The sequence below is a fragment of the Homo sapiens genome, chromosome X (assembly GCF_000001405.40).
Source record: "Homo sapiens chromosome X, GRCh38.p14 Primary Assembly".
Classification (NCBI taxonomy): Eukaryota; Metazoa; Chordata; class Mammalia; order Primates; family Hominidae; genus Homo; species Homo sapiens.
This window is the reverse complement of record NC_000023.11, coordinates 1,757,458-1,784,922: the sequence shown is the minus strand read 5'-3', so window position 1 is coordinate 1,784,922 and position 27,465 is coordinate 1,757,458. Positions and strand designations below refer to the sequence as shown.

The window sequence follows — 27,465 nt, the reverse complement described above, 5'->3', positions numbered from 1 at the left end:
AGCCTTGAAAAATCAGAATGAGGATCTTTGAAGTGGGAGAGGGATGGGAGGTAATTAGAAGAGGAGAGGCATTTTTTTTTTTGAGATGGAGTTTTCCGTTTTGTCACCCAGGCTGGAGTGCAATGGCACAATCTCAGCTCACTGCAACCTCCACATCTCAGGTTCAAGTGATTCTCCTGCCTCAGCCTCCCCAGTAGCTGGGACTACAGGCATGTGCCACCACACCCAGCTAATTTTTTATATTTAGTAGAGATGGGGATTCACCATGTTGGCCAGGCTGTTCTCAAACTCCTGACCTCAGGTGATCTACCCGCCTCGGCCTCCCAAAGTGCTGGGATTACAGGCATGAGCCACCGCGCCCGGCCGAGGAGAGGCATTTCTAAACTTGAGGCATTGTTTTAAATTTGAAAACAAACATTTAAAAAATCATTGCCCAGTGGATCAATTATTAGTGGATCAATTATTATTAAATCTATCCATTTGAAACACACCTGATGCTTAAGGAAGACCCAGGTAGAACCCAAAGTTTGCTTCCCTTGCAAGAAAAAGAAAATAACTACATCAAGTCAAATGGAAGGAGTTTCACCCCAAGTAATACAACGGTCTCATTAGGTATGCATGCCACGAGTCCAGGCTCTCAACCTTGTGCTATACTTTGGGAAAAGAATGAGATAAACTTATTCTTTTTTCAGCCAAATACCAAGAAAGAATGAAGATCTCAGGAATTTCAATGAGACTAAGTTGCCCAGCTAGCTGTTTTTATTTAAATAAGGACAATGATGACTATGATTATATGTTCAGAACTAGAATAAAGCTCTTATCTTATGAAAACAGATATTTTCAGAATTTTTCAGTCACTTTCTTTGTATAATCCCTTCCTCACTTTTCTTCTTTTGCTTTCAGTAAACGAACAGAGCGGAAAACATAAACCCCTTCATTAAAAGTCTCTGCAAAAAGATGCAAACTTTCTAAAAATGTCTTTCACTTCACCTATTCCACAGAAATGATTGTGATTCTCTTTGAAAAAACCTGCAGCTCATTTTTGAACCAGGCTCTTACTAGCATGGATTAAGTAAAAGCCTGAACATACATTTTATTTTGTAAAAGAAATGTTCACATTCAGTTAAAAGTATTGGATCTCACTTATATAAAGAATCTACAAAAATAAAAGAATGAAAAGAAGGCAGAAAGAAGGAAATGAAAAAGAAAGGAAGGCAAATACAAAATACAAAAAATTAGCTGGGCATGGTGGTGGGTGCCTGCAGTCCCAGCTACTCAGGAGGCTGAGGCAGGAGAATGGCGTGAACCCGGGAGGCGGAGCTTGCAGTGAGCCAAGATCACGCCACTGCACTCCAGCCTGGGCGAAAGAGCGAGACTCCTTATCAGAAAAAAGGAAGAAAGGAAAGAAGGAAGGAAGGAAGAAAGAAAATATATAGAAATAGAAAAAATGGTGGTTGTTATAGATGATGTAGAATAAGTCTAGAAATCAAATGCAAAATATAAGGACTATAATACATTTCATATTTAGGATTTTTGTTAAGAGAGTAGATTTAAGGTGCTCTTGTCGCAAAAAAGGTAAATATGTGAGATGATAGCTGTGTTCATTTTCTTAACAATTATAATCATTTCACTATGTCACTATATCAAAAAATCATGTTGCACACCTTAAATACATACAACAGAAATTAATTTTAAAAAAGAAACCAACTCAAACAATGAATCCGGGGATGCTATAATTTATATCAGAAGAGTGCTTTAGAATTGACAAAGTACGCTACACACTTTACCTTGTTGGAACCCTTCCATAAATACGGAGAAACCATCTTTCATTCTCATTTTACAGATGAGAAATGGAGGCTTAAAGAGAGCTAAGTCTCTACCCAAGGTCGTATAACCTGTTCAACACAATATGCTATTCAGGAAAAGCAGAGAGTACTGCGGTCGACATGAATTATTAGTGTGGGCATGTTTATGTGTTTAGTGAACCCAGAGAGGCAATAACCATTATGCCTCTTTGCTCAAGTTGGCCGAATTAAACAAGCCGTCTTGACTCCACCCTGTATGGTTTGTGTCTCCCAAGCTTCATGTGTTGGAAACTTCTCTCTCAAATTAGTATGTTGTAGTATTTGGAGTGGCACCCTTAGGAGACAATTAGAATTAGGTAAGATCATCAAAGCGAGGCCCACATGGACAGAGCTGGTGGCATTATAAGTCCTCCACTATGTTGTACTATAGCAAGAGGCTCTCATCAGATGCAGGCACCATGCCTTTTGGACTTGCCAGCCTCCAGGACTTTACAAAATAAACTTCTTCTGTGAATTACCCAGACGGTGTTACTCTGTTGTAGCAACAGCAAATGGATTAAGACACCTCCTGGGCCGGGTGCAGTGGCTCACGTCTGTTATCCCAGCACTTTGAGAGGCTGAGGTGGGTGGATCACTTGAGGTCAGGAGTTCGAGACTAGCCTGGCCAACATCGTGAAACTCCATCTCTACTAAAAATACAAAAATTAGCCAGGCTTGGTGGCAGTGCCTGTAATGCCAGCTACTCGGGAGGTGGAGACAGGAGAATTGCTTGAACCCGGGAAGCAGAGGTTGCAGTGAGCTGAGATTGTGCCACTGCACTCCAGCCTGGGCAACAGAGCGAGACTCCGTCTCAAAAAAAAAAAAAAAAAAAAAAAGAGATACCTCCTGAACTCAGCCTGGCTATGCGTCTTCTGCAAAGCAATTCCATTCACTTCAGAACAAGCCATCCGTGGCCTCCCAAAGAACATTCACAGAGACCATTTTTCTTTCCTGGAAAACTCTCCGCTGCAAAGCGTATTCTGTCTCTGACAGTTACTTGGACTTCACAGGCATTTATGCAGTGACCTTTTTGACTGTTGACGATCTTTCATTTCCAGTTGGTCTCGGTAGAAGTGGCATTTCACACCCACCCGGCAATGATGCCAGACCAGGCCTGATTCTCCTCTGTCCCAACGGGCAATGAATCGGTGCTTGATGATACGTAAACACAGCTGCATGGAAGAACTCCAGAGCTCGAGTTCAAATTCCCAGTGCCTCCCTCCGTTTCCTGATAGATAAGCAACAGTGCCTCTAGATGGTCAAAGAGAGACCTCTGCCGAAGCCAATTCCATCATCTTCATGAACAGCCACCCCCTCAGCATCAACTGAGAGCATCAGTATACTTGTAAAATGAATACTAGAAGCCTACGGGGACTTACGCAGAAGGCACTCAGGTCTTTTGAGATTTTGACTCGCTGCCATATTGGAGGATTGGAATGTAAGGTGCCCTGCAGTAGAGGACATCTTCTGTTGTAGCTTTGTTTCTTTAGTGCTTATTCCATGATGAGTGCAGGTACAACCCTGCTCATTCCCAGCAAGGGCAGGATAGCAGAAGTCCAGGCTTCATCTGTCTCACAGAACACAGGTAAATGGACATGGATTGTCCTATATAAAGAAATGTGCCAAATTGGTCCAATGTACAGAAACTGTAGTCACTCAACTTTGCTTTGCTTTTTCCTTCCTTCCTCCCTCCCTCCCTCGTTTCTTTCTCTCTTTCTTTCATCTTTCTTTCTCTTTCTTCCTTTCTCTTTCTCTTTTTTTCTTTTTCTTTGTCTCTTTCTCTCTTTCTCTCTCTCTTTCTCTTTCTTTCTCTCTCTCTTTCTCCTTCCTTCCAGCCTGGCCAACATGGTGAAATCCCGTCCCTACTAAAAATACAAAAATTAGCCGGGCATGATGGTGCACACCTGTAATCCCAGCTACTCGGGAGGCTGAGGCAGGAGAATTGCTTCAACCCAGGAGGCAGACATTGCAGTGAGCTGAGATTGCACCGCTGTACTCCAGCCTGGACAACAGAGCAAAACTCCGTCAAAAAAAAAAAAAAAAGAAAGAAAAGAAAAGAAAGAGAAGGGGCCCAGGAGTGACTTGCTGGAGAATTTGGCTCAGGGGTGGTCCCTGTTCAGCCCATTTCTGTCTCAACAAAGGAGATCAAAGCTACACTTAGAAGCTTTCCTAGGTCACAAAAGCATCAATGTTGTTAGTTAGCAACGGGGACTATTTTTATGGCTTTTGAAGACAGGGATAAAGTCCTTCTATGGTGAAAGTCACAAGGGATATGGACTATATAATCAGGACAAAATAAAGGGAAGATGGTGAATTATTACAAATCAAAAAACTTTTATGAGACAAATCAGCCATCTAAAGTGTGTGGAGTTTCTTTCCATTTTTATTTAAAGAAACCAACCACAGAAAGTCATTTCTAAGACTGAGGGAAATTTGAACACATACTGATGAGTAGATAAAAGTATTGTTGGGCCGGGCGCAGTGGCTGACACCTGTAATCCCTGCACTTTGGGAGGCCAAGGCGGGTGAATCACAAGGTCGAGAGTTTGAGACCAGCCTGGCCAACATGGTGAAACTCAGTGTCTACTAAAAATACAAAAAAGTCAGCCGGGCATAGTTGCGGGCACCTGTAATCCCAGATACTTGGGAGGCTGAGGCAGGAGAATTGCTTGAACCCAGGAGGCAGAGGTTGCAGTGAGCCGAGATCACGCCACTGCACTCCAGCCTGGACGACAGAGTGAGACTCTGTCGAAGAACAAAAAGGCCTGATGAGGAAAAAAAAAAAAAAGTTCTGTAGAATTGAAAGGCAGAATGATAATGATGTCTAAGATTTTCTTTCAAATACCGTGGCCAAAAAAATTAAAATGGAAAAATAAAACACATTGATAACTGTTTGTAATCGTTAAAACCTGAGTGGTAGATGCATTAGGGTTCATTAAACCATTTTTTAAGGAAACAGAATTCGAGATCTGAGTACACAATCTCCATCTGAAAGCAAAAAATGCTTCTCCATTTTTAGAAACCAGTTTGTAGATAAGTATGCATGCTGTTAGCTTATATGCTTTAATGCTCTTTAATACGATTTTATATTGTGCCACTGGAAGAATTGTATTTCGTCACTTAGAAAATATCTACTCTAATCTGTAAAAGCAGAATAAATTGCTTCACCAAAGAGACACACAGAGAGAACCCTCAGTGAATCAGACAGCTCAATCATCTATGTAAATATGACCTGAGGGATGGCAGCATTGGGCTTCATTTAATTATTTTACAAAACGTGCCATGCATTTACCATTCCATATACTTTACGATCTTCTGTGGAACAGCTGCAGCCCACACTGCCATACTTGGAAATTGTTTCCATCCATGACACAGGCGCCACTGTGGGCTTAGACATTGCATTATAAAACACGGTGCTTTTCACCAGGTTTATCACTATACCAGCTTATATTTTGGAATAACTTCTATTGATTCTCAAGGATTGCCAGCGGAGACATACTTGGTAGTTACCCAAATGTATTGCGTGGCTGAAATTCATTTTTTGTTTTTTTGAGAAGGAGTTTTGCTCTTGTTGCCCAGGCTGGAGTGCCATGGCAGAATCTCAGCTCACTGCAACCTCCGCCTCCCGGATTCAAGCGATTCTCCTGCCTCAGCCTCCCAAGTAGCTGGGATGACAGGCATAAGCCACCACACCCAGCTGATTTTTTGTATTTGTTAGAGACAGAGTTTCACCATGTTAGTCAGGCTGTTCTCAAACTCCTGACCTCAGGTGATCGACCCGCTTCAGCCTCCCAACGTGCTGGGATTACAGGCATGAGTCTCCACGTCCGGCGGCGTGACTGAAATCTTTACATGAGTTTATATAACGGGTGTTACACACAGTGGCAGGTTACAGTTCTTAATATACAGCCATGGATGGATTTCACTGAGCTTTCCAGCTTAACTCACATTTTAATCAAAGCTGGCTTTTAACATTTTTCCACTTGTCATTAAAAAAAAAAATCCACTGACTGCCTATGTGTCACCAATGACATGATTATTAAGAATCCTCGTTGAGTAGACAATGAGTCACTATGCAAAGCAGGCGGGAAGGTATACTGCCAACCCTGTTCACTAAATGGCAACCTCCTGTTCCAAGGTCTTTTTATATACAAAATCATTGACAGCATCAGATAGCTGTTAAAGACCTCAAGATAGTATTTGAGGTCTCAGCCTTGGCAAGTCTGAATATATTCATTAAAAGCAATTGCTTTAGCGTAGTATTCAGAAAGACTCTTTGATGATTTCAAGCTCTTGTGCCATTGAATTAAGGTAGACTTCCTTGTTATCTAGTTTGACATCCTGTTATCTAGTTTCTGGCCAAATTGCCTCTGTGGCCAGAACATTCTCTTTGTCTAAGTTGGATCATGTCCTCTCTCTCCTTTAAAGAATGCTTTGAGGTCCTACTCACTCTCTTTACTGAGCTACGTAAGTTGCCACAAATCCTCTTCCTTAAAATTGTAGCTTATTCTGTACAGCAAAACAAAGAATCAACAGAGTAAACACACAACTCACAGAATGGGAGAAAAATTTGCCCAACTATGAATCCGACGAAGGACTAACATCCAGAATCTACAAGGAACTCAAACAAATCAGCAGGAAAAAAAAACAAACAATCCCATCAAAACATAGGCAAAGGGCATGAATAGACAATTCTCAAAAGTAGATATATGAATGTCCAATGAGCATATGAAAAAATGCTCAACATCACTAATGATCAGGGAAATGAAAATTAAAACCACAGTGAGATACCATCTTACTCCTGCAAGAATGGCCATAATTCAAAAATCAAAGAATAACAGATGTTGGTGTGGATGTGGTGAAAAGGGAACACTTTTACACTGCTGGTGGGAATGTAAACTAGTTTAACCACTATGGAAACCACTGCGGAGATTCCTTAAAGAACTAATACTAGAACTACCATTTGTTCCCGGTATGGAGACTCCTTAAAGAACTAATAATAGAACCACCATTTGATCCAGGTATGGAGATTCCTTGAAGAATTAATAATAGAACCACCATTTGATCCAGGTATGGAGACTCCTTGAAGAACTAAAACTAGAACTACCATTTGATCCAGGTATGGAGATTCCTGAAAGAACTAATAATAGAACTACCATTTGATCCAGGTATGGAGACTCCTTAAAGAACTAATAGTAGAACTACCATTGGATTCAGGTATGGAGACTCCTTAAAGAACTAATACTAGAACTACCATTTGATCCAGGTATGGAGACTCCTTGAAGAACTAATAATAGAACTACCATTTGATCCAGGTATGGAGGTTCCTTGAAGAACTAAAAGTAGATCAACAATTTCATCCAGCAATCTCAGAACTGAGTATCTACACAGTGGAAAAGAAGTCATTATATGAAAAAAGGCACTTGCCTTTTATTATTATTTATTGATTGACTGACTTTTGTTTCAGTAGTTTTTGGAGGACAGGTGGTTTTAGGTTACATGGATGAGTTCTTTAGTGGTAACTGATAGCAGCACAATTCGCGATTGCAAAAATATGACACCAGCCTAAATCCCCATCAACCAAGGAGTGGATAAAGAAAGTGTGGTGTATATACACCACGGAATACTACTCACCCATAAAATGGAGCAAAATAATGTATTTTGCAGTAACATGGATGGAAGTGGAGGCCATTATTCCAAGTGAAGTAACTTGGGTATAAGAAAACTAAATATCAAACGTTCTCAGTCATAAGTGCGAGCTAAGCTACGAGGATGCAAAGGCATAAGAATTATACAATGGACTTTGAGGACTCGGGGGAAAGGGTAGGAGGGGAGTGAGGGATAAAAGACTACACATTGAGTACAGTGTACATTCCTTGAGTGATGGGTGCATGAAAATCTCAAAAATCACTGCTAAAGAAATTATCCATGTAACCTAAAACCACCTGTTCTCCAAAAATGACTGAAACAAAAGTAAATAAATAAGTAATAAAAAAAATTGTAGCTTAAGCAGCTCAGCTTTCATTGTAATGGTATTCCTTAGCTAGGGCAGCCATGAAAAAAAAAAATCACTGCTGAAGAAATGGCTCAGGCAAGACACAGTGGCTCACACCTGTTATCTCAGAATTTGGGAGGCCAAGGTGGCTGGATGACTTGAGGTCAAGAGTTTGAAACAAGATTGGCCAACATGGTGAAACCTCGTCTATACCAAAAATATAAAAAATTATCCGGGCATGGTGGCTTGTGCCTGTAATCCCAGCTACTCAGGAAGCTGAGGCAGGAGAATCACTTGAACCCAGGAGGCAGAGGTCACAGTGAACCGAGATTGCGCCACTGCACTCCAGCCTGGGTGACAGAGCAAAACTCCATCTCAGAAAGAGAGAAGAAACAAGGAAAGGAAGGAAAGGAAGCAAAGGAAGGAAAAGAAGAAAGAGAGAAAGAGAGAGAAAGGAAGGAAGGAAGGAAGAAAGAAAGAAAGAAAAAAGAAAAGAAAGAAGGAAGAAAAGAAAAAAGTGGCTGCAATGAACAGAAATGGATTCTCTCACAGCTCTGGAGACCAGAAGTCTGAAATGAAGGTGTCTACAGAGTTGGTTTACTTCTGGAGGCTTTGAGGGAGAATCTGTTCCAGGTCTCCCCGCTAGCATCTGGTGGTCGCCAGCACGTCTTGGTGCTCCTTGGCTGGTGGACGCATTACCTCAATCTCTGCTTCTTATCTTCTCCGTTTCCCTTGGTGTCTGGACTCATTACATTTGCAGAGACCTGATTTCCAAAGAAGGTCACGTTAACAGGTACCTGGCGTCAGAACTTGAACCTAATGTTGTAGGGCACACAATTCTACCCATGTCACTCCCTGACACCCAGATTCTGTCCTTTGCTTTCATGGTTGTTGTGACAATACATGAGTCTTCCCTACATGTACTAGATCAGCATTCCTCAAAAGTAGAGATGAAAACCAACATCTGGCTGGGTGCAGTGGCTCACACCTGTAATTCCAGCACTTTGGGAGGCGGAGGCAGGCAGATCACCTGAGGTCAGGAGTTTGAGACCGGCTGGGCCAACATGGTGAAACCCCGTCTCTACTAAAAATACAAAAAAAAAAAAAAAAAAATTAGGCGGGAGTGGTGGCAGGCGCCTGTAATCCCAGCTACTCAGGAGGTTGAGGCAGGAGAAGCGCTTAAACCCGTGAGGCAGAGGTTGCAGTGAGCCAAGATCACACCATTGCACTCCAGCGTGGGCAACAAGAGTGAAACTCCATCATCTCAAAAAAAAAAAAGAAAAAGAAAAGAAAAGCAGTATCTGGGTACTGATAGACTATTTAAAACGTGATTGCAGCAGGGCACAATGGCTCATGCCTGTAATCCCAGCACTTTGAGAGGCCGAGGTGGGCAGATCACGAGGTCACGAGATCAAGACCATCCTGGCTAACACAGTGAAACCCAGTCTCTACTAAAAATACAAAAAAATTAGGCGGGCCTGGTGGCGGGCACCTGTAATCCCAGCTGCTCAGGAGGTTGAGGCAGAAGAATCGCTTAAACCCGGGAGGCGGAGGTTGCAGTGAGCCAAGATCACGCCATCGCACTCTAGCCTAGGCAACAAGAGCAAAACTCCATCTCAAAAAAAAGAAAAGAGAAAAGAAAAGCAGTATCTGGATACTGATAGATTATTTAAAAGGTGATTGCAGCCTGGCATGGTGGCTCATGCCTGTAATCCCAGCATTTTGGGAGGCCGAGGCGGGCAGATCATGAGGTCAGGAGATCGAGACTATCCTGGCTAACATGTTGAAATCCATCTCTACTAAAAATACAACAAAAACAACAACAAAAAAACTTAGCCAGGTGTTGTGGTGTGTGCCCGCAGTGCCAGCGACTTGGGAGGCTGAGGCAGGAGAATGGCGCGAACCCGGGAGGTGGAGTTTGCAGTGAGCCGAGATCGCTCCACTGCACTCCAGCCTAGGGGACAGAGCGAGACTCCGTCTCAAAAAAAAAAAAAAAAAAAAAAAAAAAGGTGATTGCATAAAGCAAAAATAAGAGATGGTGAGAGGAGTGCTGCCATATGGGGAAGATCCAACAGCTGGGGTTGCTATGGCACTTGTTACTGCCATGGGCAAGGGGGTCTGTATCCTGCTGAGGACCCTCTGAAGGATGGAAAGGCTGGAACATTTATCTATCAATTCCTGTTCTCTCACTGCACAGATGGAATCCGTTCTGCAGCATGGAGCAACTCCCTATGCTTCCAAGAAAGCCCTGAGTGAGATGGCTAGCTCCAACTATGTGGATGCAGAGACACAGAGAAGGCTGCAGTGTGATGGGGGCTATGAGAAGTGACCACAATGAAACAACCCAACATCAGTGCATGGATCTTCACTCATCCACAATACCCAGAAAACAAGATCAATAAGCATTCGGGGCATAGCACCAGGTACGGAGCTAAGCTAGGTATGCATTCAACGTCTGACCCCAGAAAAAGGGATATTGTAAATTGGTGCTGTAACTCAGGGGTCCTGAATCCCCAGGGCACAGACCACCACTGGTCCATAGCCTGTTAGGAACCGGGCCACAGAGCAGGAGGTGGGCAGCAGGTGAGTAGCAAAGCTTCATCTGTATTTTTTTATTTTTTATTTTTTGAGATGGAGTCTCATTCTGTCACCCAGGCTGGAGTCCAGTGGTGCAATCTCAGCTCACTGCAACCTCCGCCGCCTGGGTTCAAGCGATTCTCCTGCCTCAGCCTCCTGAGTAGCTGGAATTACAGGTAGTCACACCCCACATCAAGCTAATTTTTGTATTTTTAGTAGAGACAGTGTTTCACCATGTTGGCCAGGCTGGTCTTGAACTCCTGACCTCAGGTGATCCGCCCACCTTGGCCTCACAAAGTGCTGGGATTACGGGCATGAGCCACCATACCTGGCTTCTTCGTCTGTGTTAACGGCTGCTCCCCATCACTTGTGTTACCACCTGAGCTCCACCTCTTGTCAGATCAGCAGTGGCGTTAGAGTCTCATAGCAGTGTGAACCCTATTGCGAACCGCACATGTGAGGGATCTAGGTTACGTGCTCCTTATGAAAATCTAATGTGTGATGATCTGTTACTGTCTCCCATCACGCCTGGATGGGACCATCTAGTTGCAGGAAAACAAGCTCAGGGCTCCCACTGATTCTATGCAATGGTGAGTTGTAGAATTATTTCATTCTGTATTACAATGTAATAATAATAATAGAAATGAAGAACACAATCAATGTCATGTACTCAAATCATCCCAAAACCATCTCCAGGTCATCATCCATGGAAAAAATCATCTTCCACAAAACTGGTCCCTGGTACCAAAAGGGTTGGGAACCACGGCTGTAAATAAAGCTTGAATGGAAAACAGTATGAAGATTTCTCAAAAGACTAAAAATAAAACTATGATTTGATCGAGGAATCCCACTCCTGGGCATAAACCCAAAGGGTAAGAAATCATCCTTTCAATGTATCACCTGAGGTTAGCAGTTTGAGACCAGCCTGGCCAACATGGTGAAACCACATCTCTACTAAAAATACAAAATTAACTGAGTGTGGTGGCAGGTGCCCGTAATCCCAGCTACTTGGGAGGCTGAGGCAGGAGAATTGCTTGAACCCAGGAGGTGGACATTGCAGTGAGCCGAGATCACACCACTGGACTCCACCTGGGTGACAGAATGAGACTCTGTCTCGAAAGAAGAAAGAAAGAAAGAAAAGAAAAGAAAAGAAAGAAAGAAAGAAAGAAAGAAAGAAAGAAAGAAAGAAAGAAAGAAAGGAAAGAAAGAAAGAAAGAAAGAAAGAAAGAAAGAAAGAAAGAAAGAAAGAAAGGAAAGAAAGGAAAGAAAGAAAGGAAAGAAAGAAAGGAAAGAAAGAAAGGAAAGAAAGGAAAGAAAGAAAGAAAGAAAGAAAGAAAGAAAGAAAGAAAGAAAGAAAAAGAAAGAAAGAAATCATCCCATCAAAAATACACCCATAGTCATATGTTTATCACAGTATATTCACAGCAACAAAGATACGGAATCAGTCTAGGTATCTGCCATTGGAGAATTAGATTAAAAAAAAAAACTGTGGTATTTATACACCATGGAATATTACACAGGCTTAAAAAGAATGAAATCATGTCTTCCAAAGAGATGTGGATGAAGCTGGAGGCCATTATCCTAAGATAAATAACTCAGAAAAAGAAAATCAAATACTGTATGTTCTTACTTATAAGTAGGAGCTAAATAATAGGTACCCATAAACATAAGAGATGGAGTTCACAGACACTGGGGAGTCCAAAGGGGAGAGTGTTGGGGTGTGGGGGGGTGAAAGTTGAAAATGTATCTCTTTTTTTTGTCTTTTTTTTTTTTGAGATGGAGTCTCACTCTGTTGCCCAGGCTGGAATGCAGTGGCGAGATCTCGGCTCACTGCAACCTCTGCCTCCCAGGTTCAAGTGATCCTCCTGCCTCAGCCTCCCAAGTAGCTGGGATTACAAGTGCCTGCCACCATGCCCAGCTAGTTTTTGTATTTTTAGTAGATACAGGGTTTCACCATGTTGGCCAGGTGGGTCTTGAACTCCTGACCTTGCGATCCACCTGCCTCAGCCTCCTAAAGTGCTGGGATTACAGGCTTCAGCCACCATGCCCAGCCAGGAGCAGGTGTCTTACATGGCCAGAACAGGAGGAAGAGAGGAGAGAGAGAAGATGCCATACAGTTTTAAACAACCCAATCTCATGAGAATTCACTCACTATACAGTAGCAAGGGGGATGGCGTTACACCATTCATGAGAACTCTGCCCCCTTTATCCCATCACCTCCCACCAGCTCCTCTACCTCCAACACTAGAGATTACAATTTGACATGAGATTTGGGTGGGAACACAGATGCAAACCATATCGCCAGGCCTGTTGAGTCAACTCCTTTCCGTACACACATGCAAAATTTCAAATTGGTCAGTAAAGCCTCACCCATCACCCACTTCCACCAATCCCACCTCCAGTCATGGCCAAAGAAGGCACAAGACCCCAGTTCAAATCACTGTCTTGTGAGGCTGTTCTTTCTACTAGGACCTCAGTTGTGTCTACCAATGATGACTTCAATTGTGTACGATGGATCACTACCAATTTGGAAGTTGCCCTCCCAGCTCTGGTTTCCCCAGCTGTAAAATGGATAAGGTTGTGCTAGATAATTCCCAAGGCTCTATCCATCTTTGATATCCTCTGACTGAATACAGATATTCTACAGAAGGACTGGAGTTGGGCTGTGTCCCAGAACAAAGTGTTACACTTAGGTGCTCTTATCTGTGTTCCTGCCCTTGAGAAAAAAAGTGTCTTCATCCTGCCTAATTTATCAGCTTGTCCTGCATTCCAGAAAATCACAGCTATTTGGCAAATACAAATAGAGTCTCATCAGAATAAGACTCTTAAAACAGTTTTCTGGGTTTTGTTTGTACGTTTTTCTTCCTTAAGACATACCTTGACTCGGGAGGACATTTTCTAGATCATTTAAGTAATGGGGTCTTCCAAGAGCATCTCTTAGATCAGCAAAGTCTGGTTGAATTTCCGTGCCTGCTATTATAAATGGGAACATGCTGTCCTCTGCCGCTCTTACCATTCCAGCCCAAATGGAAGATCCTGTTTAATTTGGTTATTTGAAAGTAATTTCATAGATGAGGAAAGGAAGAACACAGATGTTAGATTGCTTCAAGGCCATTACGATATTGCAGAAGAGATTAGCCTTCTTGGAGTTCTGGGTCGGGCGAGGAGAAGGAAGACGAATGAAGGGTAGGAAACAATATGTATTTATCTTTAAGTTTAGGAGTCCAAAACACCACTTGTTCAGAGATGCCAAATAATTAATTTCCTCAAACCAGGCCACTTTCGGAATGCTGAACACTGCTTGTTTTCTTTGAGCCTCCACATTTTATCATCTTTTCAATGTTCCTATGCAATTTGAAAGGTAGCAAGGGGTTGAAAGATTCCTCAATCCCAGCACTTTGGGAGTCTGAGGTGGGCAGATCACAAGGTCAGGAGATCGAGACCATCCTAGACAAGATGGTGAAACCCCATGTCTACTAAAAATACAAAAAAAAAAAAAAAAAAAAAAAATCAGCCGGCCGTGGTGGCATGCGCCTGTAGTCCCTGCTACTTGGGAGGCTGAGACAGGAGAATTGCTTGAATCTGAGAGACGGATGTTGCAGTGAGCCGAGATCGTGCCACTGAACTCCCAGCCTGGTGACAGAGCAAGACTCTGTCTCAAAGAAAAAAAAAAAGAAAGAGAGATTCCTCTCTGTGGGTATTCTATGCTTAATTCTCTCTTCTTCCAAGAGCACTAAAAACACAAGGAAGGTCATAGGAGAAACAGGCCACATCTCAGCACCCCAAAATCGATCCCACAGTTAGAGGGCATGCATTAGGATTCAGATGCTGTTGTAGAAAAATACCAACAACTGCGTGGCTTGAAACAGCAGACGTCTGTTCTCTCGAACTTCTGGAGGCCAACAGCTGAGATCAAGGTATCAGTAGGCTTGGTTCCTTCTGGAGGCTCAGAGGAGACATCAGGAAACTTACAAACATGGCAGAAGGCAAAGTGAGAACAAGTGTCTTACCTAGCCAGAGCAGGAGGAAGAGAGAAGACAGAAAAAGTGTTACACAGTTTTAAACAACCAGATCTCATGAGAACTCGGTTACTGTAGTACCAAGGGGGTAATGGTGCGAAACCATTCATGAAAACCATTCACGAGAACTCTGCCCCCGTCATCCAATCACCTTTCACCAGCCCCCCTGCTCATATCAATTATATGGTTGGCTCTGTGTCCCCACCCAAATCTCATCAGGAATTGTAATCTCACCCAAATCGGGAGAGATCCATTATACGTAATTGAAGTCACAATTGATATACACAACTAAAGTCTTAGTAGAAAGAAGAGCTCCACAAAAAAGACAGTTTTTTGAACTGGGGTCTTGTGTCTTCTCTGGCCGTAACTGGAGGTGGGATTGATGGAAGAGGATCATGCGTGAGGCGTTACTGACAGCTTTGAAGTTTTACATGTGGGTATGGGAAGCGGTTAATTCAGCATGCCTGGCGATATAGTTTGCATCTGTGCCCCCACCCAAATCTCATGTCAAATCCCCAGGTGTACAAGGAGGGAACTGGTGGGAGGTGACTGGATCAGGGAGGCAGTTTCCCCCATGCTGTTCTCATGATAGTGAGTGAATGCTCATGAGATATGATTTTGTTTTCTTTTTTTTTTGTTTTTTGTTTTTGAGATGGAGTTTCACTATTGTTGCCCAGGCTGGAGTGCAATGGCATGATCTTGGCTCACTGCAACCTCCGCCTCCCGGGTTCAAGCAATTCTCCTGCCTCAGCCTCCCAAGTAGCTGGGATTACAGGCATGAGCCACTGTGCCTGGCTAATTTTGTATTTTTAGTAGAGACAGTGTTTCTCCATGTAAGTCAGGTTGGTCTTGAACTCCTGACCTCAGGTGACCCACCCGCCTCAGCCTCCCAAAGGGCTGGGATTGCAGGCATGGGCCACCACGTGCCGGCCGATCTCATGATTTTATAAGTGTTTAGCTATTCCCCCCTCACTCTCTGTCTCTCCTACCAGCTTGTGAAGAAGTGCTTGCTTCCCCTTTGACTTCTGCCATGACTGTAAGTTTCCTGAGACTTTCCCAGCTATGTGGAAGTGTGAGTTGATTCAACCTCTTTCCTTAATAAATTACTCAGTCTCAGGTACTCAGGTATTTCTTATAGCAGCAAGAAATACCTGAGTCTCAGGTACTCAGGTATTTCTTATAGCAGCATAAAAACAGACAAACACATTTGGTTCATAGATGTGTCAGTCCAACCTCTGTCTCCATCTTCTCCTTTGTGTGTTCTCTTTTTTTCTTACAAGGGCTCCAGTCATTGGATTTAGGGCCCACTCTATTCCAGTGCAACCTCATCTTAACGACGTCCACGAAGACTTTATTTCCAAATAAGTTTCCCTTCTGAGGTTCTGGTGGACATAAACTTTGCAGAGACATACTTCAGCCCACTGCAGAAGACTTTTAAAAAAAAGGGTGGGGGAGGGGGGCTGGGCACAGTGGCTCACGCCTGTAGTCCCAGCACTTTGGGAGGCCAAGGAGGGTGGATCATGAGATCAAGAGATCCAGACCATCCTAGCCTACATTGTGAAACCCCGTCTCTACTAAAAATACAAAAATTAGCCGGGCGTGGTGGTGCACACCTGTAGTCTCAGCTACTTGGGAGGCTGAGGCAGGAGCATCACTTGAACCCGGTAGGCAGAGGTTGCAGTGAGCCAAGATCATGCCACTTCACTGCAGCCTGGGCGACAGAGCAAGAATCCATCTCAAAAAATAAAATAAAATAATAAAAATAGAAAATTTAGCCAGGTGTGGTGGTAAGCATCTGCAGTCAGGCCTATTTGGGAGGCTGAGATGGGAGGATTGCTTCAGGCTGGGGGCCAAGCCTACAGTGAGCCATGATGGCCCCACTGCACTACAGCCTGGGCCACAGAGACCCCACCTCTAGAGAGAAAGAGAGAGAGAATCTCCTTCATTTCAGCAGCATTGATATTGGTGGATGCGACACTCCAGGTGAAATAGGTCCCATTCTTTTCCTCCTTCCACTTCACTGCAGCCTGGGCCACAGACTGAGACCCCATCTCTAAAAATAAAAATAAACAAATAACAAATAAATGAATAGGCTGGGCGTGGTGGCTCACACCTATAATCCCAGCACTTTGGGAGGCCGAGGCAGGCAGATCACCTGCGGTCAGAAGTTTAAGACCAGCCTGGCCAACATGGAAAAACCCCACCTCTACTAAAAAAATGCAAAAATTAGCCGGATGTAGTGACTGCGTGCCTGTTATCCCAGCTACTTGGGAGGCTGAGGCAGGAGGGTCACTTGAACCCAGGAGGCAGAGGTTGCAGTGAGTAGAGATTGCGCCACTGCACTCCAGCCTGGGTGACAGAGCAAGACTCTGTCTTAAAACAAACAATAAAATAAAATGAATAAAAAATAAGAAGAAATCATAGTGTGAGTATAACTATATGTAGCATCCCAGGAGACCTCCTAGCAGCCGTATCACAACACCTGAGGATTGCTCTTGGAGACCCCCACATAGGATGGTGCTAGAAAAAAACAGAAAGAAGCCCTCTGGGCTGCAGTCACTCTGGAGGTATTTATTTATTTGTTGACTTATTGTGTATTCATTCTTTTTTTTTTTTTTTTTTTTGAGACAGAGTCTCACTCTGTCGCCCAGGCTGGAGTGCAGTGGTGCGATCTTGGCTCACTGCAACCTCTGCCTCCTAGGTTCAAGCGATTCTCCTGCCTCAGCCTTCTGAATAGCTGGGATTACAGGCAAACGCCACCACGCCCAGCTAATTTTTTTGTATTTTAGTAGAGATGGGGTTTCACCTTGTTAGGCAGGATGGTCTCGATCTCCTGACCTTGTGATCAGCCCGACTTGGCCTCCCGAAGTGCTAGGATGACAGGCTTAAGCCACCGTGCCTGGCCTCCTTCTTATTTTTAGAGATGAGGTCTTACACTGTGTTATCCAGGCTTCAGTGCCATGGAAAGAGTTGGAGCAGGGACTGATTATACCCAGAGCATCACAACAGCCAATGTCAAGGGTGTGGTGTGGAGGCACAGGACGCGTCCTCTTCCACGGAGCCACAGATGTGAGGAGCTCTCACCCTCCTCCTTACCTCCTGGGGGCCTGGGACGTGATACCTGTAGACACGCTGGGGAGGTGTGAATTGTAAAAGGCCTACCACACTCAGGTGCCGACGCCCTTCGACTCATGAACCGATGCCTGCCCCCTTTGTCTGCCTCCTTTTCCCTCCCACTCTCCCATCACAGATGATCCTTGGCTGGCTTCCCCGTTTCCATGGTTACCGCCTCTGCCAGGGAGGCAGCCACAGGTGGTGGATGCTGTCAGAAAAGCTGCTCAAAAGTCATCGTCCAGAGCCAATACCCAGGGCATCCACGGTGTGAGGCCAACTGGGGACCCCAGGGAACCCCAGACTTGACCCCTGGAAGACATTCCAAATGGAAGACATGGAGCTGGCCAAGGAAGAAAGGTTTGGGACTGGGAGGTGGCTGGGGCATGTGAGAAACAGCTGGCTCCTGGTGTCATACAGGAGAATCATGAGTGTTTGTTTTGGGATGGTTTCTGTGTCCTGTTGTACCACCTGGGCTTGCCTGTCGTTGTCTCAAAGCATTTTTTTGCATGACGTGGTTTATCTGGGGAGCTCTGGACCTCTCAGGTGAACACACAGCCATCATCATGTCGAGTTTATTTTTTTGAGACGGAGTCTCGCTCTGTCACCCAGGCTGGAGTGCAGTGGCACGATCTTGGCTCACTGCAACCTCCGCCTCCTGGGTTCACGCCATTCTCCTGCCTCAGCCTTCCGAGTAGCTGGGACTATAGGCACCTGCCACCACGCCTGGCTAATTTTTTGTATTTTTAGTAGAGACGGGGTTTCACCACGTTAGCCAGGATGGTCTTGATCTCCTGATCTTGTGATCCACCCGCCTCGGCCTCCCAAAGGGCTGGGATGACAGGCGTGAGCCACTGCACCCGGCCATCATCTCGAGTTTCTGAGTGAAGAGTGCGCAGCATGGAGAGGCAAGGTGGTTGGTGGGAGGTGGCACATCCCCAAGGCAACAGAGCAGGGAGGAGATGGGCTGATGTATCCCACGCTGAGAGTGTCCCAGCCAAGGAGCTTGCAACAGGGGGTAGTGGAGAGACGGAGAGTGGTAGAAATGGAAAAATTCCTGGGGAGTAGGAAGTACAATTGCCAGTTTCAATGAGGTGTGAAGGAAAAGGGAGGAAAAAGGAAACGGCTCCCAGACAACACACTTGCAATCCTGGGGGAGGAAGCATGAATGTGTTTTGTTTTTGTTTTCATTTTTTTTTGTTTTGTTTTGCTTTTGTTTTGCGACAAGATCTTGCTCTGTCACCCAGGCTAGAGTGCAGTGGTGCAATCATAGCTCACTGCAGCCTCGATCTCCTAGCCTCAAGCGATCCTCCCACCTCAGCCTCCCAAGTAGCTGAGGCTACAGGCATGCACCACCACACCCAGCTAATTTTTGTATTTTAGTAGAGATGGGGTTTCACCATGTCTCGAACTCCTGAGCTGAGGAGATCCACCCGCATCAGCCTCCCAAAGTGCTGGGATTATAGGCATGAGCCGCCGCACCCAGCTGCATTTTTTTTTTTAAGAGATGGGTCTTGCTCTGTCACTCAGGCTGGAGTGCAGTGGTGCAATCATAGCTCACTGCAACCTCGACCTCCTAGCCTCAAGCGATCCTCCCACCTCAGCCTCCAGAGTAGCTGAGACCACAGGTGCACACACTGCCATACCTCACTACTTTTTCTTCTTTTGTAGAGACGGGATCTAATTGCGTTTCTTAATACACAACACACAACAGGGTAAAGCTCAACACTCCAAAGCATTTAGAGAGCTCACAAAATAATATCACGAGCAAGGAAGTACCCAGAAAATAACCTTGGACCTTAGCCAAGGAGAAATCTCTCTAGCATCCATGCCTTCAGATATCTGCCCCCAACCAGGCGAGGAACTGAGACAGCTTCCACTCTTTGGAAGGTCAGCTCTACCCGGATGGAAGCTGTAAGCTGGATTTTCTGTACCACAAGCTTCCCAGGACATGCCCATGGGCCAGAGCAGAAAAGTTGCCTGCAGTTTGGGACATTCAAGAACACTCTTTGTGGTGGGTTTCTTGGCTGTATGGCTGTTCCATTCCTAGACACACAGACAAGGGGAGAGATCAGTATACACTGGGCAGCTGGTTCACTGCCATCCCAAATTCCAGACCAGAACGTGCAGATGAGTCAGAAAGGGGGTCTTCTATCCATACGAAAGTTTGCAGTGGCAGCCGTGACCAATTTCACAACCTTCAAGGTAGCCGTGACCAATTTCACAACCTTCAAGTCAGACGTGGCAAATTTCACAACCTTCAAGGCAGCCGTGAGCAATTTCACAACCTTCAAGGCAGCCGTGAGCAATTTCGCAACCTTCAAGGCAGCCGTGAGCAATTTCGCAACCTTCAAGGCAGCCGTGAGCAATTTCGCAACCTTCAAGGCAGCCGTGAGCAATTTCGCAACCTTCAAGGCAGCCGTGAGCAATTTCGCAACCTTCAAGGCAGCCGTGACCACTTTCGCAACCTTCAAGGCAGCCGTGAGCAATTGCACAACCTTCAAGGCAGCCGTGAGCAATTGCACAACCTTCAAGGCAGCCGTGAGCAATTTCACAACCTTCAAGGCAGCCGTGAGCAATTTCACAACCTTCAAGGCAGCCGTGACCAATTTCACAACCTTCAAGGCAGCCGTGACCAATTTCACAACCTTCAAGGCAGCCGTGAGCAATTGCACAACCTTCAAGGCAGCCGTGAGCAATTTCACAACCTTCAAGGCAGCCGTGAGCAATTGCACAACCTTCAAGGCAGCCGTGAGCAATTGCACAACCTTCAAGGCAGCCGTGAGCAATTTCACAACCTTCAAGGCAGCCGTGAGCAATTTCACAACCTTCAAGGCAGCCGTGAGCAATTTCACAACCTTCAAGGCAGCCGTGAGCAATTGCACAACCTTCAAGGCAGCCGTGAGCAATTTCACAACCTTCAAGGCAGCCGTGAGCAATTTCACAACCTTCAAGGCAGCCGTGAGCAATTTCACAACCTTCAAGGCAGCCGTGAGCAATTGCACAACCTTCAAGGCAGCCGTGAGCAATTTCACAACCTTCAAGGCAGCCGTGAGCAATTTCACAACCTTCAAGGCAGCCGTGAGCAATTTCACAACCTTCAAGGCAGCCGTGAGCAATTGCACAACCTTCAAGGCAGCCGTGAGCAATTTCACAACCTTCAAGGCAGCCGTGACCAATTTCACAACCTTCAAGGCAGCCGTGACCAATTTCACAACCTTCAAGGCAGCCGTGAGCAATTGCACAACCTTCAAGGCAGCCGTGAGCAATTTCACAACCTTCAAGGCAGCCGTGAGCAATTTCACAACCTTCAAGGCAGCCGTGAGCAATTGCACAACCTTCAAGGCAGCCGTGAGCAATTTCACAACCTTCAAGGCAGCCGTGACCAATTTCACAACCTTCAAGGCAGCCGTGACCAATTTCACAACCTTCAAGGCAGCCGTGAGCAATTGCACAACCTTCAAGGCAGCCGTGAGCAATTGCACAACCTTCAAGGCAGCCGTGAGCAATTTCACAACCTTCAAGGCAGCCGTGAGCAATTGCACAACCTTCAAGGCAGCCGTGAGCAATTTCACAACCTTCAAGGCAGCCGTGACCAATTTCACAACCTTCAAGGCAGCCGTGACCAATTTCACAACCTTCAAGGCAGCCGTGAGCAATTGCACAACCTTCAAGGCAGCCGTGAGCAATTTCACAACCTTCAAGGCAGCCGTGAGCAATTTCACAACCTTCAAGGCAGCCGTGAGCAATTTCACAACCTTCAAGGCAGCCGTGGCAGATTTCACAACCTTCAGGGCAGCCGTGGCAGATTTCACAACCTTCAAGGCTTAAAATGGAAATGTATGCTCACATAATCCTGGATACCAGGAGTCTGAGATGAAGGTATGTTAGGGCTGGGCTCCCTCTGGAGTCTCTAGGGGAGGATCCTTCCTGCCTCTCCCAGCTCCCAGGGGCTCCCAGCATTCCTGGGCTCGTGGCTACACCACTCCAGTCTCTGTCTCCATGTGGCCTTCTCCTCTGTCTGGGTCTCCCCTTCTGTGTTTAGAAGGACACCTGTCCTTGCATTTAGGACCCCCTAATCTAGGACAGGTTTTATTTCAAGATCCTTCACTAATTACATTTGCAGAGATCCTGTTTCCAAGTAAGATTGCATTTATAGGTTCTGGGGAAAAGGAAATAAACATATATTTTGGGGATCACCATATAACCCATTCCAATTGTATCCAGTTCCTTCTGGAGGCTCTAGAGGAGGATCCTTCCTGCCTCTCCCAGCTCCTGGGGGCTCCAGGCATCCCTGGGCTTGTGGCCACATCACTGCAGTCTCTGCCTCTGTCTACACGTGGCCTTCTCCTCTGTGTCTGCGTCTCCTCTTCTGTCTCTTAGAACAGCTGTCATTGCATTTAGGGCCCTTCTTATATCTAGAATGAGGTTGGAACAATATTATGTGTTAACTTGACTGGATCATGGGGTGTTTAGATGTCTGATTGAATGTCACTCTGGGGTATCTGTGAGGGTGCTTCCCAGTGATGTTAGAAATTGAATTGGTAGCCTGAGAAAGGGAGATCATTTTCTCCAACATGGGATGGCCTTATCCAATCCATTCGCAGCCTCAAAAGAACAAAAAGAAGAAAAAGAGGCCGGGCACCATGGCTCACACCTGTGATCCCAGCACTTTGGGAGGCCAAGGTGGGTGAATCACGAGGTCAAGAGATTGAGACCATCCTGGCCAACATGGTGAAAGCCCATCTCTACTAAAAATACAAAAATTAGCTGGGCGTGGTGGCAGGCACCTGTAGTACCAGCTACTCGGGAGGCTGAGGCAGGAGAATTGCTTGAACCCGGGATGCAGAGGTTGCAGTGAGCCGAGATCGCACCACTGCACTCCAGCCTGAATGGCAAAGTGAGACTCCATCTCCAAAAAAAAAAAAAAAAAAAAAAAAAAAAGTCACTCATATTATCTCATTGCAAAAACCCTTCTATTTTTTAGCAATTTAGGAAAAAGTACAACATCAACGTAGGTAGCATACAATGTTTGAAATACTGCTACTCTGAGAACACTGAGAACCAACGAGCTAATGAATGCTGTCAATTCAAATGAGATTGAGATAAATGATCATGGGAAAAGAAACTGCAACGTCAAGAAATCTTTCAAATTTTATAGAAGAGAAAATTAATGAGCTTTTCCCCATAGTTGACATGGGTGCAGTAGCTCACGCCTGTAATCCTAGCACTGTGGGAGGCTGAGGGGGTAGATCACCTGAGGTCAGGAGTTCAAGACCAGGCTGAACCAACATGGAAAAACCCCTTCTCTACTAAAAATACAAAAAAAAATTAGCCGGACTTGATGGCAGGTTCCTGTAATCCCAGCTACTTGGGAGGCTGAGTCAGGAGAATGGCATGAACCCGGGAGGGCGGAGGTTGCAGCGAGCCGAGATCGCACCAGTGCACTCCAGCCTGGTGACAGAGCAAGACTCCATCTCAAACAAACAAACAAACAAAAAAACAAATTGGCTGGGTGCAGGGACCCACACCTGTAAGTAACCCCAGCACTTTGGGAGGCTGAGATGGCTGGATCACTTGAGGTCAGGAGTTCAAGACCAGACTGACCAACACAGAAAAACCCCATCGCTAGTAAAAATACAAAAAAAAAAATTAGCCGGATGTGCTGGCAGGGGCCTGTAGTCCCAGCTACTCAGGAGGCTGAGGCAGGAGAATCGCTTGCACCCAGGAGGCGGGGGTTGCAGTGAGCCGAGATCGCACCACTGCACTCTAGCCTGGCGACAGGGCAAGACTCCATCTCAAAAAAAAAACAAAAAACAAAAAACAGAAATTGGCTGGGTGCAGTACCCCACACCTGTAACCCCAGCACTTCGGGAGGCCGAGATGGCTGGATCACCTGAGGTCAGGAGTTCAAGACCAGACTGACCAACACGGAAAAACCCCATCTCTAGTAAAGATACAAAAAAAAAATTAGCCGGATGTGCTGGTAGGTGCCTGTAGTCCCAGCTACTCGGGAGGCTGAGGCAGGAGAATCACTTGCACCCGCGAGGCGGGGGTTGCAGTAAGCCGAGATTGCACCATTATACTCCAGCCTGGGCAAAACAGCAAGACTCCGTCTCAAAATAAATAAGAAATTACGATGCTCAATTATTTTTTTTTGAGACGGAGTCTTGCTCTGTTGCCCAGGCTGGAGTGCAGTGGTGTGATCTCGGCTCACTGCAACCTCCACCTCCTGGGTTCAAGCGATTCTCCTGCCTCAGCCTCCCACGTAGCTGGGATTACAGGTGTCCGCCACCACGCCTGGCTATTTTTTTTGTATTTTATTGTAGATATGGGGTTTCACTATGTTAACCAGGATGGTCTCGATCTCCTCACCCTGTGATCCGCCCGCCTCGGCCTCCCAAAGTGCTGGGATTACAGGCGTGAGCCACCGCGCCCGGCTCAAAGATACTTTTCTAAAGTCTGAAAAATAAATAAATGACAGTCAGCTGTGCTACAGGAAAGAATGAAATACCTTTCCCGTGCCTGTATGGATGAGACAAAAATCGCTGATCAAAGACCTTCCGGCTAGAAGTTGTAGGGGAAATAGGATTGGGTCTGACGGTGAATGCATAACAATGTTAGTTCTGTAAATCCTGTGATTTTGGAGGCTGCCCATCAGCTTTTCCAGATTTTGCAATTTGCTGTGATTTTATTCTAAACAAAAATTCTCTTTCATGTCTAAATGTGTATACGTAATTTTTTATTCTTTTATTTAAAAGACCCTCAAATGACCTAAGTATCTTGTCCCAGACACTATTGAACGTTTTCTGAGCACTGTGTTTCTAGAAAACAGTGAAGGGTAAGAAATCCCCCTACCTGGGCCAGGTGGGGTGGCTCATGCCTGTAATCCCACCATTGTGGGCGGCCGACATGGGCAGATCGCCTGAGGTCAGGAGTTCAAGACCAGCCAGGCCAACATGTTGAAACCCCATCTCTACTAAAAATACAGAAATTAGCTGGGTGTGGTGGTGCACGCTTGTAGTCCCAGCTACTCAGGAGGCTGAAGCAGAAGAATCACTTGAACCTGGGAGGTGGGCGTTTCAGTGAGCCAAGAATGTGCCATTTCACTCCAGGCTGGGTGACAGAGTGAGACTCCATCAAAGAAAGAAAGAGAGAGAGAGAAAGAGAGAGAAAGAAAGAGAGAGGAGAGAAAGAAGGGGGGAAGGAAGGAAAGAAGGAAGGAAAGAAGGAAGGAAAGAAGGAAGGAAGGAAGGAAGGAGAAGGGGAAGGAAGGAGGGAAGGAGGGAGGGAAGGAAGGAAGGAGGGAAGGAAGGAGGGAAGGAGGGAGGGAAGGAAGGAAGGAAGAAACCTCTGCCTCCTGGGTTCACGCCATTCTCCTGCCTCTCCCAAGTAGCTGGGACTACAGGCATGCACCACCACATCTGACTAATTTTTTGTTGTTGTATAGATGGGGTTTCACTGCATTAGCCAGGATAGTCTCAATCCCCCTTACCTTTTTGTATTCTGAGAAGTGACTTGCTGTAAACTCCTGCCTTTCTCTCATGACTTAGGAAAGATGCATGGCTGCCTTCCTCTTGATCTCCAGAGCAAGGCCAGACCAGACTCTCCAAATCCCTTCTTTTTATTTTCTTCTTAAATTTTTATTTATTTTTTATTTTTTTGAGACAGAGTTATGCTCTTGTTGCCCAGGCCGGAATGCAATAGCGTGATCTTGGTTCACTGCAACCTCTGCCTCCAGGGTTCAAGCAACTCTGTCTCAGCCTCCCGAGTAGCTGGGATTACAGGCATGCTCCACCAGGCCGAGCTAACATTGTAGTTTTAATAGAGACCGGGTTTCACCATATTGGCCAGGCTGGTCTTGAACTCCTGACCTCAGGTTATCCACCCGCATTGGCCTCCCAAAGTGCTGGGATTATAAGTGTGAGCCACAGTGCCTGGCCTCCAAATTCCTTCTTTCCTTTGTAAATGTCTAGCTGACCTGTTCATCCCCACAATCAATAGGAATAAAGTGCTTGTGGACCAAACTTGAAGTTTTCTCCTCCCCCACCCACCCCCAGCTCCTCTGAACACCCTCGTACGTTGGAACGTGGGACAGCCCCTCTTCAACAACCCCTCCTGAAAAATCAACAAACGACAAGGGGAAGTATTTCCTGATCAATTATTCTGACATGCCTCTCCCTATAAATGAAATTTGTTTCTGCCTGAGTCTTTGAGATGCTTACAAATCTTACAGTCAAGCAATCTCCCTACTGCAATTGTCTTTTCTTTTCTTTTATCGTTTTGTTGTTGTTTTGTTTTTGAGGCAGGGTCTCGCTCTGTTGCCCAGGCTAGAGTGCAGTGGTGCAATCTCGGCTCACTGCAAACTTCACCTCCCAGGTTCAAGTGATTCTCCAGCCTCAGCCTTTGGAGTAGCTGGGATTTTAGCTGTGTACTACCACGCCCGGCTATTTCTTTTTCTTTTTTTTTTTTTTTAAGTAGAGACAAGGTTTCACCATGTTGGCCAGGATAGTCTTGAACTCCTGACCTCAAGTGATCCACCGCAGCCTCCCAAAGTGCTGGGATTCCAGGCATGAGCCACCACACCCAGCCTGTAATTGTCTTTTCAAATCTCTTTCTTATCTAAATCCACATTTGTTTTTATTTTACTCCCCAGAAAACCAGCAAACACTCCTTCCTGGACGCCTATCCACTGAACACCAAAAGAGAAAAATATCCTTGTCTCTCTCTCTCTGTCTTGCTCTCTCTCTCTGACACACACACACACAGATACACAAAGAAACTAGGAGCTAGAAGGAGACCCCCTCAAGTCTAAATGAAATTATTTGCAAAGAGAGAACAGGACCAATTTCACTTCTAGCATCACAACTGCCAACATCAGTGGTGTGGAAATGAAGGGTGAGCTGTTTTTTTAATTTCTTTTTTTTGAAGGTAGGGTCTCACTGTGTTGTCCAGGCTAGAGTGAGGTGATGCAATCCTAGCTCACTGCAGTCTCAAACACCTAGGCTCAAGGGATTCTCCTACTTCAGCCGTCAGAGTAGCTGGGACTACAAGCACACACCACCACACCTGGATAATTTATTTTTATTTTTGTAGAGATGAGTGTCTTGCCATGTTGCCCAGGCTTCCAACGATCCTCCCAGCTTTAAGCAATGCTCCCACCATGGCCTTCCAAGGTGCTGGGACTACAGGCATGAAGCACTGAGCCCAGCCAACCTCTTTCATTTCCAGCAGTCACTGTGGGTCAGCTTATGAAGCAGTGTCTACCCCTTGAATCACCTTATCACAGAACAAACCTAAGAGTCATAGGAAAGGGAGGGCAGGATCCCTTTCTAGCAAATAAAGAAAGAGGAACTCAGAGAGATGAAACGACTTGACATCAGAGTGAAGACCTGGAGGAAAGAAAGTGAGCTTGGGGGTCTTGGGTTGACCCTTGGTGGGGGTGGTCTGCAGGGGAGAGGGGAAGCACCCTCAACAGTGAATGTCCCAATGTAAATGCTCCACGTGGAATCCCTGGCTCTGCAAAAGACATCTCCATCCACCAGCCCCACTTTCCACGCTACATTGACATGCTGCTGATGACAAGGTGATGATGACTGGTCACTATGGAAATAATAGAAGCTCACCCAACAGCGAGCAAGAAGAAACGATTTATCCAGGGCTTGCTATACCAAGGGAGGCAGCCACCGTCCCTTGCATTTAGCAAAAATGTAAAAGCAGGAACCCCAGATAGGAGAATCAGGAAGACTGCAGGCATGCCCTAATTAGAGGCTGTCCACATTCTAAAGCTGTAGGAGGCTCATGAGAAGTGGGGCACCCCTGGGATTGGTTAGGACGGTGTCTCTTCAGCTTTCTAATTTTTTTTTTTTTTTTTTGAGACAGAGTCTCGCTCTGTCACCCAGGCTGGAGTGCAGTGGCA

General features: G+C 45.5%; 1 long non-coding RNA gene across 2 annotated transcripts, besides 1 other annotated feature; it reads right to left on the bottom strand.

Annotated features, from left to right (window-relative positions):
* Positions 1-320: 320 nt before the first annotated feature.
* On the bottom strand, positions 321-13,870 carry LOC105379413 (uncharacterized). 2 transcript variants are annotated; one of them, XR_001755770.2, is made up of 3 exons: positions 13,294-13,870; positions 8,390-8,603; positions 321-3,449 (listed from the first exon to the last, which is right to left on the bottom strand). It is a non-coding gene; the product is annotated as an uncharacterized LOC105379413 (long non-coding RNA). The 2 variants fall into 2 exon arrangements; XR_001755773.2 differs by having other exon boundaries at positions 8,441-8,603.
* Positions 19,483-19,983: an enhancer, noted in NCBI's record as "H3K4me1 hESC enhancer chrX:1883833-1884333 (GRCh37/hg19 assembly coordinates)". NCBI's record gives its function as "activates a minimal SCP1, AML or CMV promoter by ChIP-STARR-seq in naive H9 embryonic stem cells {active_cell/tissue: H9 hESC(naive)}" and the evidence as "EXISTENCE:reporter gene assay evidence [ECO:0000049][PMID:30033119]".